At 40.0% G+C, this 14,126-nt stretch overlaps 1 protein-coding gene across 4 annotated transcripts in view; it reads left to right on the top strand.

Annotated features, from left to right (window-relative positions):
* Positions 1–14,126, top strand: part of ADCY8 (adenylate cyclase 8) — a 260,609-nt gene that overhangs the window by 199,792 nt on the left and 46,691 nt on the right. For all 4 annotated transcript variants that reach the window (XM_017013006.2, XM_006716501.4, XM_005250769.4 and 1 more), the window contains one exon: positions 4,669–4,841. In XM_017013006.2, coding sequence (XP_016868495.1) covers positions 4,669–4,841 — 173 coding nt within the window. The remainder of the gene's footprint in view (positions 1–4,668; positions 4,842–14,126) is intronic.

Below are 14,126 nucleotides of genomic sequence, written 5' to 3'. Positions count from 1 at the left end.
AGCTGGTCCCTCCACCAATCTTACCTGGAGTTCATCTAATGTAAGATGAATCTGGTCTCTTTCACACCTCCACGTCTGTAGGGGTTTTTTGTCTTCTCCTGTCTACATTTTATTTTACCTATTGAAATGCCTTTGACTTCTTTTTCCTAACCAATTTTTTTTAACGGTAAAAACTGAGGTGTCATTATATACTTTCCCAAGGCAAAGGTGATGCACTTACAATGCATAGCTTGTCTGCTTCCTGTATCAGAGATTGCTGGGAACTTTGCTCACTACCTAACATTTCTCATACAAATCTTGGCATTATTATTTTTTATCATTAAAAGGTCTGGGAAAAAACAGAGAACCCCATTACTATATGGGAGTCAGAGTTCTCTGGAGTACAGGGATTTACCCCAAAACACTGTATTCAACCTACTGTTTCATTTGATATTGCACATTAAAATAAAACTAAAGGACATTACAAAAGGAAATAATCCACTCAAAAGCCATGTCATGTCTGTGTAGACATATTTTGCATTCTTGTAATCATAGTATATATATAATTTTACACCCTGCTTTCCAGTTTAAAATTATTTTGAAAACTCTTTGTTGTCATTTAAAAGGCTCCTCTGAAAACTCTTGTATATAGAGCTCTTTATTCTTCGGGCACATGTTTCTTCACTATTGTCTTCTAGTTCTCCTCCTCACATCCCCAAAAATGCCTAATCAATATTCTTATTTCTCTTCTTCCACAGTCCTTCAAACATGGTAGGCTCTCAATGTTAGTCTCTGTATCTTCTGTCTTTACTTGTATTCTGCTTGAGTGGTTTCTTCCACACCTGTAAGTTCAGCTGAATGATGCTAAATGTGTGTCTCCAGACCCCATCTGCCTTCTGAACCCCAGCCTCATTTATGTCATTGCTCACTAAACATCCTTCCTGAATCACCCCTTCTATACCTAAAGCTTGATAGGCCTAAAAAAAGAACTCACTGCCTTTTCCTCATACTTTAAGTTTTTTCTTACTTAATAGATTAATACAAAGTGGAAATATTAGTGCTACCTCTGACTCCTCTCTCTTTCTTACCTCCCCATAAAACTAGACAATGTTGTCCAACTTTTATATCTTGCTAAGTTTATTGGGTATATTTGCCAAGATCTTGTCTTTAAGTCCTCAGCTTTTCTCAATTAATCCTGATACATCGTATATTCTACCCTACCGCAATTTATTTCTTAGGCACTGACCTAATGAATCCATTACAAGCAAGAAACTCATCCGTGGTTCCTTACGGACTGCAGAATAAAGTACAGATTTCCATACTAGAGGATTTTTTACAGTGTGGTTTTGCCCCTTAACTCTGTCCTACTATACCTATGAGCCCCTTATACCCAGGATCCATTTAGGGGACACTTTAGGAGCTGTGGGCCTTCTAAGTTCCTGGAGTAATATAACACAAAAATTGCTTGTTTTTTGACAGAAACTAAGTAATTGCATTGAGCCCAGTTTCTTCCCAAGTTACAGGACACATGCAATTTATGGGTCCAGACCCAGCAAAAGAGAAATGTTTTCACAAAGCTTTCACAAAGCCATAATACTTCTGTAGCTTCCTGTTGTTCTCCCATTTCCTGGTCCCACCCCCCACTATTCACTCAAGGTATAAAAAGCACAGAGGAGATTCCTCTGATGTTGTCCAGGGGCCTCATTCTGTTTGATGTCCCACGGTTCATATCACCTCCAAAAGGTTCACCTTTCTACTTTAAAGTAAAAAGTTACCTAAACCATGCAAGGCAGTGGGTGATTCCTTTAGATGGAATGGGGGATAGGAGTAAAGAAGGCAAGAGCATGCTGCCACAATTGATTGAGGCAACAAAACGAGAAAGACCCATCAACACATTGTGCAAATGTACAATTATATTTGCCTATTATACCTTCAGCAGCCTTGTTAGAGAAAGGAGGAGGGCAACACCTTCAAATCTTTTCTTCTGCTTGTGTTACTAGTTCTCTTTATGAGTAGTTGTATGATTCTCTAATATGACCTAAGGAATCAATCCTCCTGACACCTTGTTCCTTTACACTTTTGCATTCATGTTATTCTGTCTTCCTAAAATGCCCGTCCCTTTCCATTTTCTACTGTGTGAAATCCTCTCTGTCCTTCAAGGTCCAGTTCAAACTCATGTCCCCTGTATAGCCTTCTTCAGATGTGCCTGCAGAATGCACAACGCTTTGTCCTTCCTCTGTACCCACATTGCATTTGGTCACATTGCTGGCAAAGCACTTTCCACCATGATTATTGTTTGTATTTTTATGTCTGCTTTACATTTTAGACCACGACTTCCTTTAGGCCTGGGCCATCTCTTACTCTCCTTTGAATTTCCAGTGCCTAGCACCATGTCTTGATTGTAATAGGCACTCAATAAATGCTTATTACATTTTATAAATTAACTGTTGTGACCACATAAGTTTTTGTTCCAAGGACACAATCATTTCAATGGCTTTTTATCCAATAAATGATTCATAATTTGCAAAAAGCCATGCACCGCCCCTTGTTGTGATACAGGCAACAATGAAACAGGACCCCTCAGATCTAGTCCTCTTTCTTTGGCCTTTGTCAAACTGGAGGGCCTTAGAGTTTCTCTGGAGCAGAAAATGAGCTCTGGAGAATGAACTTCTTATTGCCCAGTCACTTCAGACACAGCTTCCTATACAGAGGCATCAAAATGAATTACCTAAAAATCTTCCCCAAGATCTTAAAGGATAGCTGAAGAAAGCCTATCATCCCATTTGAGACCAGAAAATAATTGGATTTCTTGGAAAAGGAAAAGACAGAAGTAAAGGAGACACTAGACACTAGGCTCCTAATGGCAAGGAAATGCCTTTTTCACTTATGAGTCCACCCCATGTACCACAAAGGCATGGGGCCTTTGCCCTCTGAGAGAACACAGTCAGGACACTCTCCACACTTGTCAATGTCAACATTTGTTGAAAGGATGCATAAATTAGCCAGCTAGGCTTAGAAATCTGTAAACAATCTTCAGTAATTACTTAGACATTTTTGGAAATTCTTACCCAACACCCCTGCCCATACAAAAATTGTCTATGTAATAGAAAAGACAAGTTGTTACAAACAGCCATGTATAACAAGACCAAAAAGAATTTTAGAAATTATCAAGTCCAATATTTTAACTAGAGTCCCATTTACGTGAATTGGTTATATCCTGGTGACCTAGATGCCACTTTATAGCCAAGAGATCTTGGACAATTTACTTAAGCTCTATGAACCTCAGTTTCTTAACCTATAAAATAGGAATTATGACTCCCATCTTGACCAGTTACTTTGAATGTTACAAGTGAAAATGTGTATAGAGATCACAATATTGCCACAAAATGGGCCTTTGATAATGCAAGTTTTATTCTTTTTGTTTTTTGTTCCTGATAGTCAGAGTCTGAACCCACCATCCAGAATGATATATTAGGATACTTCTCTAAGGGAAGGAATAGGCTGGGGAGCTTCCCATAAAAGGCTGAAATCTGGTGGGGTAGACTGACACCTAAGGGCTACTCTAATATTCCAGCTCTTGGCTAATTCCAAATTTGCAATTTAAGCAGTTACTTCTAATACAGGGTGATAGGTGTTATGCTGGTCTATGCAGGGTGCTGTGGAGGAATGAAGCAAGATCCAAACGTAGCTGGAGATATTGAGGAAGTCTTCTTAGAGGAGAGAACACCTAAGCTGACATTTGCCAGAAGAGTAAGCCCTAGGCATATGGATGAGAGTCGAGCAACAGGGCCCTGGGACTTGGGAGAAGGGTTTAGAGAATGAAAGGAAATCTGATATATGATGGCCTTGTGAGCTTTACTATTCAGAAAGGAGAATATAATTTGAGATAGTGGAGAGCCATGAAAGAACTTCAAGTTAAGAGGTGACATGATCAGATCTGTGCTTTAGAAATATGGAGTAGAGAACGATATGGGTGTGGGGTGGGGACTGGGGACTAACTGCAGACAGAGCTGCCAAAAAGCTATTCTAGAGCTGTTGGTGAGAACTAAGACAGAAACAGTGTGGAAGAAGGCTGGCTGAAGGGAAGATCTATTAAAGAAGAATCAGCCAGGCATGGAGGCTCATGCCTGTAATCCCAGCACTTTAGGAGGTCAAGGTGGGTGGATCATCTGAGGTCAGGAGTTCAAGACCAGCCTGGCCAACATGGTGAAACTCCATCTTTACTAAAAATAGAAAAGTTAGCCAGGTGTGGTGGCATGTGCCTGTAATCCCAGCTATTGGGGAAGCTGAGGTGGGAGAATTGCTTGAACCTGGGAGGAGGAGGTTGCAGTAAGCCGAGATGATACCACTGCCCTCCAGCCTGGGTGACAGAATGAGACCCCATCTCAAACAAACAAAAAAAAGTAGAATCTACCAACTTAGGATGGCCTGTGTAGGGAAGAAGGCAACAAAGATGAAACCAAAGTTATTGGCTTGGGAAATGCTATGAATAGTGATGCCATTCAGAGAAGTAGGGCTTGGCAGTAGGCAAATGAAGAGTTTGATTTGGGACCTGTTGAATTTCAGGAGGCCTTGAGACCTCCAAATGGAAACTCTCTGCAAATGTGTGTAAGACCTACTAGCATCCATGGCTAGGAGAGGGAACTGCTGCCCCCATTGAATCTGACCACCTGCATTCTCTGTTTCCAGTACTTTGTCTTCACGGGGGTGTTGGCCATGGTGACCTGTGCAGTTTTCCTCCGGCTGAACTCCGTCCTGAAGCTGGCAGTGCTGCTGATCATGATTGCCATCTATGCCCTGCTCACTGAGACCGTCTACGCAGGCCTCTTTCTGCGTTATGACAACCTCAACCACAGTGGAGAGTAAGTGCCCACCACCGTGAGTCCAAAGTGTGCTCAACTTCCTGTGGGAAGTGGAATTGTTGGGAAAATGATGCCCGCTGCATTACTAAAACTTAAGGCCTGATTGGATATTGACTTATATCTCAAATCAGGCATTCTGTAGTTTACAAGTCCAAGCAAAAATCCTGACTTTTCAGTGGTATCATTTATATGAATTACAGATGAATTAATCAAAGTTTGGACTGAATAGTAGCTCAGGTCTCCTCCAAGTCTGATCACTTATGATTTCTTCAAATTTAGTGGCTTCAACACTTGTAGGATCTGTTTGTAATTTGGCTGTAGCAATATTAATAATAGCAGCCACTGTGTATTAAGCCCTCATGCTCTCCCATTGCATCGTACAGTTGGACCTCCATATCCACAGCATTGTGGATTCAACTAACTTCAGATTGAAAATACTTTAAAAAAAATTAAAAATATTACAAACAAAAACAGTATAGTTTAACAACTATTTACATAGCATTTACATTGTATTAGGTTTTATAAGTAATCTAAGGATGATTTAAAGCATGGGGGGGATATGTATAGGTTATATGCAAAATTATGACATTTTATATAAGGGACTTGAACATGCATGGATTTTGGTATCCACAGGGCTGATACCAAGGGACAAACGTATTACTGCTGAAATATAGAAAAGTACAAAAAAGAATATCTTACCCAGACTCCTTAGAGAAAAACAGCCCAAGGCAAGGCTAATGAAACCCCAAGGCAGTGAAAGTGAGGGAAAAGAGAAGTGAGGAAGAAAAGGATGAGAGGCGAATGCAAGCTACCACTACATTTTGCTGGCAACATGGGCTCTGAAGAGATTCAGCTGGTGCCTTGGAAAATCCACTCGCAGAGCCATTTGAAATGCCTCTGGGCAGGCTCTAAGGTGGGAAAAAGTGTCTCAGGACAGAGGAAGGCAGAAAAATATGTCTGCTGGCTCCTTCCCTGTCTCTCCCATTGGCAAGAGTTCCCTTTTTGCATGCACTTTCTGATGACATCACTTGGACCCTTTCACAGCTGCTGGGGTAAACAGACCCCACACAAGAAGTGATGGAAGGAGCCAGTCCAGGCTGATTGGTCTCAGGTATTGGAAGCACACAGGACTAGCTGAGGCCAGAATAAGTGGCCAACAGTCAAAGGAAAAGAATAAGGCCAAGATAATCCAAGAAGGCTAAGAAAATATGCCCAGAACTAATAATATGAATGTCCATGAACCAAGCCCTGGAAGTAAACAATGCTAACAACTAGTCATATTTTCTTATGCATTTTTAAAAGGATAATGTGTTTCAGATGTTGAAATTCCTTTCTCTAGTATTATTCTCCTCTCTGTCTCCTCAAATCCAACTTCTAATGTACTGAATATATATCCTTCCCATCCATGTTATATATATAATGTATACATACACACATATATACACACGCACATATAAACACACACATATATTTACATATACATATAGCTAGGTCTGTATCTATAAATTATTTATAATATTTACTATTTTGTTGTGATGTAATATTATCTTTCTAGATCCATCTAGGTTGATATATATGGATTTCATTTTAGTTGTTGTCTGTACATATGAAATAACACAAACATCAAAATATGTTTATCCTTTGACCTATTAATAGAGACATTTAGGTTGTTACCAGTTTTCCCTATTATAAAAAATGCTTTAATTACCATCATTGATCATATCTTCTGGGGTGTAGACATAAAAGCACTCTTGTTGGATTGTAGGGTATCTGCGTTTTCCACTTTTTAAAATATTGCCAAATTGCTCTCCAATGTGACTGACACGATTTTCCTCTTACAAGCAGTGGTCCTGTTGCTCTCATTCCCACCTACACTGTTAGATTTTTAAAATATTTGTTTGGTTGAGTGTGTGTTTTATTGCACTGTTTACACTTGTGCTTCTCTGATTATGTGTAAGCTTGCTCATCTTTTTGTTTATTTGTTGGCTATTTGGGTTTTATTTTATGTGAATTGCCAGCTCATATCCTTTACCCAGTTTTCTGTTGGGTTATTCATCATTTTCTTGTTGAATTTGTAAGAGTTATTTTTGTTTTTAATTAACAAATAATTGTATATACTTATGGTATAAAACATGATTTTTTGACCTATGTATATGTGGTAGAATGGCTACATCAAGCTAATTAACATATGCATTACTTCACATGCTTTTTTTGTAGGTGGTGACAGCACGTAAGATCTACTCTCTTAGCAATTTTCAAGTATACAATACATTGCTATTAGCTATAGTTGCCATGTTTTACAATCGATCTCTTGAATTTATTTCTCTTGTCTAACTAAAATTTTGTATCCTTTGACTAAAAGCTCCTCAATTTCATGTCACACACACACACCTCAAGTCTCTGGTAACCATAATTTTACTATCTGCTTCTATGAGTTCAAAATTCTTAGACTCCATATATAAATGATAACATGCAGTTTTGTCAACAAGAGTAGGCCTACCAGTAGTGACCCTGTGCTCAGTTTGCTCATAGGTAAAGTGACATATATATCATCTGTCTATATTAGTCAGCTCAGTTGGCCAATAACCAAAATACCACAGACTAGTATAAATATCAGAAATTTATTTCCCACAGTTCTGGAGGCTGGGAAGTCCCAGATCCAGATTCTAGCCTGGCTCATTTCATTAACATAATGTCATCCAGGTTCATCCATGTGGTAGCAAGTGGCAGGGTTTCCTTCTGTTTTAATGCTAAATAGTATTCCATTGTGTTCGTATACCACATTTTCTTTTTCCATTTATCCACTGAAGAATAATTTCAGATTGCTCTCTCATGTTCATTGCAGCATTATTCACAATAGCCAGGATGTAAGAGTTCTTTATAAACTTCAGATACTAATGTCTAATTTACATGTATATCAAGCATTTTGTGTGCTTTATTTAATCTTCAGAGTAACATTCTGAAGAACAAAGGCTAAGAAAAGTTAGCAATTACCCAGGTTCACACGGCCAGTAAATAACAGATCCGTATTCAAACTTGGGTCTTTTTGACTCCAAAGTCCACTTTTTAAGTACTGTGTGCACCGCTTTTAAATCATACTGAATAACATTCCACCATATTCCAAGGGTTCAAAGAAACTCAAAACATTTTCAAATTAGGTAAGATGGTTAGTGGCCATGGATATATCATGGCCATGCAAAAATGAACACAAAAGAGGGCAAAGATATGTATGAACAAAATAAGCCACCTTTAGAGTAAAAATAAAAGTAAAACCATCTACAATTTATGGAATTAAAGGCAGACACAACATTAACGGAATAAGCTGGGTCTTTGGCTTCAAATCTAGACTCTGTTGCATATGCAAAGTCATATGAATTTGAGGGGAGACAATTCATTTCATAGCATTGCCCTAGGGCTGCTGTGAGGCTGTTATTTGCCTGGCACATAGCAGGTACTCAATATATGTTGATTCCTATTCCCTCTCTCCTTCTTATGAGAGAAGCTTAGTTCTGGATTCTGTTTGGAGGTCTTCAGGAAGAGTTTGTAATCAAATTAACTAAGATCATGAAAGTAAATATAACTCCAGGTTCATTGCTGCTGGCGATCAAGTGCTTTTTTCAGCTTTTTCCTGACTTGAGAACAATCATTGGCTAGTCTTCTATTGCCTTACTCTTTGCTATCAATGGAATGAAATCAATAAGAAATGAAGGAACTCAGCCAGCCTTCCATCTCAGCTGTATTATAAATCTACAGGTCGATAGTCACTCGGTAGTGAATTGGCAGTCGTAGGCTACTCACGCTGTTTGGATTTAACCAACACTTTAGGAGTTCACAATAGTTCAAGAATAGTTTTTGCTGGTTGTTCCTATACATTAGGTATCTGGGGAAAACAGATAAAATGTAAAAGGTAGCACAGAAAACCCTGGACACAACAACCTGGCCGCATCTTCATTGGGATGGCCCTGAATACTTCACACTGACATCTCCCAATCTGCTCGTCAAACTACCTGTCCCACAACAACCCTCTGATTTAGTTCATGATGCCCAGCCCAAAACAGGAGAGGCACCCTTACCCCTAACATCTTAGCAGTCACTAGAGACCCATCTTCCTCAGCATTTCTTGTAGGGAAGCACTATATCTCAATACTTGTGAGTACAAGTTTAGGACTTAAACCAACTGAATTGAAATCCCAGCTGTTCCATCAACCAGATATGTGATCTTGATCAAATTAATTTAAAATGATTTAACTTCTCTAAGCCCTGTTTTTCTCATCAGTAAGGAGGGAATAATAATAGTCCCTATGCTGTAGAAATATAAAAGGAAACAAGTGTGATAATAGAAGCTTAGCACAGGTCTGGCATATGATAAGCACTTGATATGTGCTAATGTTTGTTATTAGACATCACCCCTCCATATCACAAATGCTGCCACTCTGGAAAGATCCTCACTCTCATCTCTGGACTGATGTCCTCTAACTGATCTCTTAAACTCCACTCTCAATTCCCCCTCCTCAAAGGCATGTGGTGAACTCATATTCTTTCTAAAAACCCTTTAAGAGCTTCTTGTTACCTCTAAGAAGTTAAATTTTCAAACCAGTTTACTTAGGATTTTTAAATCTCTCCTTCATCTGGACCACACTGACTCCTTACTACACAGGTCAACATTTATAGGCTGTATTCGAACCATGGGAAATCACGTCTTTTCTCAAATGAGCTTCTGCACATATATCCCCCTGCCTGATATGTCCATCTCCCTGAATGATTCCAACCTATCATTCTCTAGACCCAATTTAAGGACACTCTCCTTGGCAAAACCATCTTTGGCCATTCCTCATTTTCCAATCTGTGTACTTAAGTGTTTATTATTGCATTTACCTCACTGTGTTGAAGTAACTAATTTTCATGTCTTCCTCTTCCATTAAAATAGGAAATTTTGAAGACAAGGACCATTACTCATGTTCATATAGTAAGCACTTAGGGTTATCTGGCAAGGTGTCCAATTAAATATTTGCAGAATGAAATATTAAATGATTGAGTGACTGAAAGAAGCATTAGCTCATTTGGAATCATATTACATCATTGATTCACACACAGTAAGCCAACTATCATTCACAACCCTTAAGATTTTTTCTCATTATTGCCCTTATAATATGTGCTCCTCAACCTATAAGCACAATTTGCTTTTGGATTTGTGTCATACTTCACATTTAATGTGGTTTTTTTCTATTTGCCCAAGCCTTCTGGCTTGTTCCAAAGCATTTAGTGTTTTGTCCTCTCATAGTCTTTATTACTTATGTATTCTAACTGATCACCAGAAGATACTATTTCCACACTACCTACACCTTGTTGACTTCTTAAAACATAGGCAAAATACTGGAATGCATTAATGCATTGTAATTCAGGTTAGAAAACCTAGAATTGAGTTCTGGCACCTGTTTCCACTCATCAGTGGGCATGTTTTTAATTCAGGGAGGCAACAAAATAGACTTAATAAGAGCATCAGTTTTGCTGGTCCTAACAGCACCTTGTAGGTGATGTGCTGGGAGGGAGTCTCCCTCACAAACCCACCCTCTTTTTAGTCTAAAGTTTGGAAGAGGCAATGACAGTGAAGTGGCTATGTTGTCTGGGGTAGATACCCAAGGTTCATCACCTCATGCCAGGAAAATTTAGGATATGGACACACATGAGGGGTGTAGGAGTGGAGATTTAATAGGCAAAAGAAAGAGAAAGGAAAACAGCTCTCTCTCTATTGAGAGAGAGGGGACTCCTGAGAGGAAAGAATGATCAGGGACAGATGCATCAGATTTTATAATCAGGTTTGAGGAAACAGTGTCTGATTTACATAGGGCTCACAGATTAATTCAATCAGGTATGACATCATATCATGTGGGGAAAGCTGACCCCTCCACCCTAATATTATTATGAAAATGGGCTTTCCAGTTGACTGGTGCCATCTTATCTGCTCCTTACTGTACACGTGGCTGACAAAGAGAAGGGAAGATGGAGCCACCATTTTGAACATGATTGTCACAATGTCAGCATCTATGTCTGCAGCTTGATTTTTACAGGCTTTCCTTTGTTAGAAAGGAAAATAATTTGGGGCTGCTTTTCAATTAGAGGAAAACCTTACTGAAGACTTCCATGCCCTCACTATCTGCCTAAGTAATTTCTTCTTAACTCCTGTATCGTTCCTCCCTCTGGATTGGTAACCCTAAGTGCTGTTAGGGGTGTTGGATGACAAAGGTTTCTGGCTACTTCCTGCTGAAAAGGGCATTGTGTGAAGAACAGCAGCTAGGGCTCCTCCTGGGGTAAATCTAAGGGTCCTTGGAAGAAAGGCATGTTCATGCATGGTTCTGTCTACAGCACCATTTGGAGTTTGATTGCTGTCAGCCATTCCAGTGGGTTGTAAAACTGGTTTACCTCCACCAGATGTTGCTGAAATGTCAATATAGAAGTAACATTCCTTTTAGGATAAGTGGCATTGGATTTGGGTGGCTAGAGTAACTTTAGTGTTAACCTTGGCTAAATCTTTCCTGCAATTATTAATCCTTTCATGACTACCATAGACCATGTAAGACATGCTTAAACTTTCCAACTTGTCCCAAACATCCTTCTTTTTAAACAACCAACTATTCTTTTTAGGACAAGTATTTACCTTCCTTATAATCCTTTCATGACTTCCATGAACCATCTACAACATGTTTAGACCTTCTGACTTGTCCTAAACATGCTTCTTTTAAACAACCAACTATTGTCTTTAGGACAAGTATTTATCATACAAGATCCTTTCTTACATAAAATCTCTTTCCTTTATAAACTTCTTTTCAAAGCCAGGGTGTGACATATTACCAAACCCAATAAAAAGTTTACAGTTCACAATCTAAAACAAAGATGATACCAGCCCCTTCCTAAGATATACTTCCCTCTTACCTGGGAACCAGACCAAGAAACTAGCCACAAGATTAGAAACCATGGCTTAGGAGTCACACAGCTAGAGGCTACAAGATTTTGACCCTCTCTAAACTGCTCTCAAGATCAGTGCTTAAGATATTTTATAAACCCTGCCCTTGATGGATCAGCTTGCCTACCCAGATCGATAAACTGGCTTATCCAGGCACGGTGTTGAATGTGCCACCCATGGTTGCAGGCGTGACCTCGGCCATGGAACCAGAGGAACTAGGTAATTGGGATTTGTCACGCTCACCCATGCAACTCTAGTGCTCTGCCTGTGACTTCCCTTTGACTATCTAGACTTTTGTGACCTGCCTGGCTCCCCCAGCCAAAAAGAAATGGATCTCAGGAGAGACTACGTGACATTTGCACTTGGGCAACTGTTACACTTCCCTCCTTTATAAAGGAAGTGTGCTGGTTTGAGCTCTATACCCTGCCATTATCACCTGTGCTAAAGTGTTCACCCTCCAAGAATGGTTCTGGTTAACTTCCAAACTTAAAATCCCCTTACTAAGTAAGTACCATTCTAACTGGAGGCAGAATAGGTGCCTTAAAAAATGTAAGGACCAAATGGCCATTTACCTACTGATGGGACAGTATTGAGACTAAAATTTGGTTTCAGAAGATATTTTACTCCTAATTGTTGAAGACAGAATTTTCCCATTCACCAAAGCAGCATAAAGCCTGGTTTTTAGTAGAGGGGCACAAAAAGGGAGAATTGGGAAGCTAGGGTGTTTCAGAAAAAGACCAACAATCTGCCTCATGGAAAGGATCCCTATTCCACTAGGTGGCACTGTTAACCTTGAAACACCATGCGGTTTCCAGTCCAAGGGCAGAGAGAGACCTGGAAATGCCATGTGGTCTCCAGGCCAAGGGCAGAGAGAGACCTGGAAATGCCATGTGCTCTCCAGACCAAGGGCACAGAGTGACTTGGAAGTGCCATGTGCCCTCCAGGCCAAGGGCAGAGAGAGACACTCACTGTGGGTGGGGGGGACCCTCTGTTCCTCAAAAATCACAAGTACGCCTTCCCTTGAGCTATATGCCTAGTTACTATGACATTGCCTAATCTTGCCAAACAAGATTACTTTTGTAAAATTTCCCCCACATTGCATACACAGAGAGGATAGGAGACATGGCTGTCTCAGACAGGAAAGGAGGAAACTACAATAGGAAAGTTGGAGATCCTGTTGCCAACACCCCATCAGGCAGTTGGAGGCTGGCGTCAGTTCAGAAGCCTTTGGATAACCCCGGGGGTTAGCCCCAGCTGGAAATCCTCAGTTGCTCCAGAACCTCTTCCAGCCCCACACGAAGGCTAAGTCCTCCTTGAAAGGAAGCCGGTTCAAACACAGCCAACATGCCCAGTAACCAGGATTCTCCATGTTCTCCCCAGTAATGATCGTATCTGAGTCTTTAAGAACAGCAGCAACACTAACCATATTTTTAACTGGCTGACAGATGCCTGTTATTGATTTGATTTTATTTAGTTCTAAAATGGAGGCTGAGAGCTCCAAAATGAAAGGATAGAGTTGGAGTCCACTCCTCTATTTACCATTTCAATGAATGTTGTACCTTGGTATCCCAGATGAGGTCCCCAATATGAAGCAGCTACATTGTCTGGGGTAGACACCTGGGCTTGTCATCTTGTGCCAGGAAAATTTAGGACACAGACATACACAAGTGGTTTAGGAGTGGGGTTTAATAGACAAAAGAAAGAGAAAGGAAGAGAAAGGAAACTAGCTCTCTCTTTAGTGAAAAGAGGGGACTTCCAAGAGAAAAGACTGGCCAGCAGCAGATGTGCCAGATTTTATAGTCAGGTTTGAGGAGGTGGTGTCTGATTTACATAGGCTCACAGATTGGTTCGATCAGGTATGATGTTTACATAGAGCATGGGGAAAGCTGGCTGCCCCACCCTAATCTTATTATGCAAATGGGCTTTCCAGTTGACCAGTGCCATCTTGTCTGCTCCTTACTGTACACTTGGATGACAAAGAGAAGAGAAGATGGAGCCACCATCTTGAACATGATTGGCACAACTTGCCAGCATCTGTGTCTGCAGCTGGATTTTACAGGCTGCCCTTGTTAGAAAGGAAAATAATTTGGGGATGCTCTTCATTAAAAGGGAAACCTTAATGAAGACTTCCATACCCTCACTATCTACCTAAGAAATTTCTTCTTAACTCCTATATCAACATACTCATACTACTCATCTGCTTCCGCAGAACATCAAGAACATATATTTTAATTCAACAAAACATCTTTTTTTTATACTTTAAGTTCTGGGGTACATGTGCACAATGTGCAGGTTTGTTACATATGTATACATGTGCCGTGTTG

Source organism: Homo sapiens, chromosome 8 (genome assembly GCF_000001405.40).
Source record: "Homo sapiens chromosome 8, GRCh38.p14 Primary Assembly".
Taxonomy (NCBI): domain Eukaryota; kingdom Metazoa; phylum Chordata; class Mammalia; order Primates; family Hominidae; genus Homo; species Homo sapiens.
Note: the sequence above shows the minus strand (reverse complement) of the source record. Positions and strands in the feature narration are given on the sequence as shown.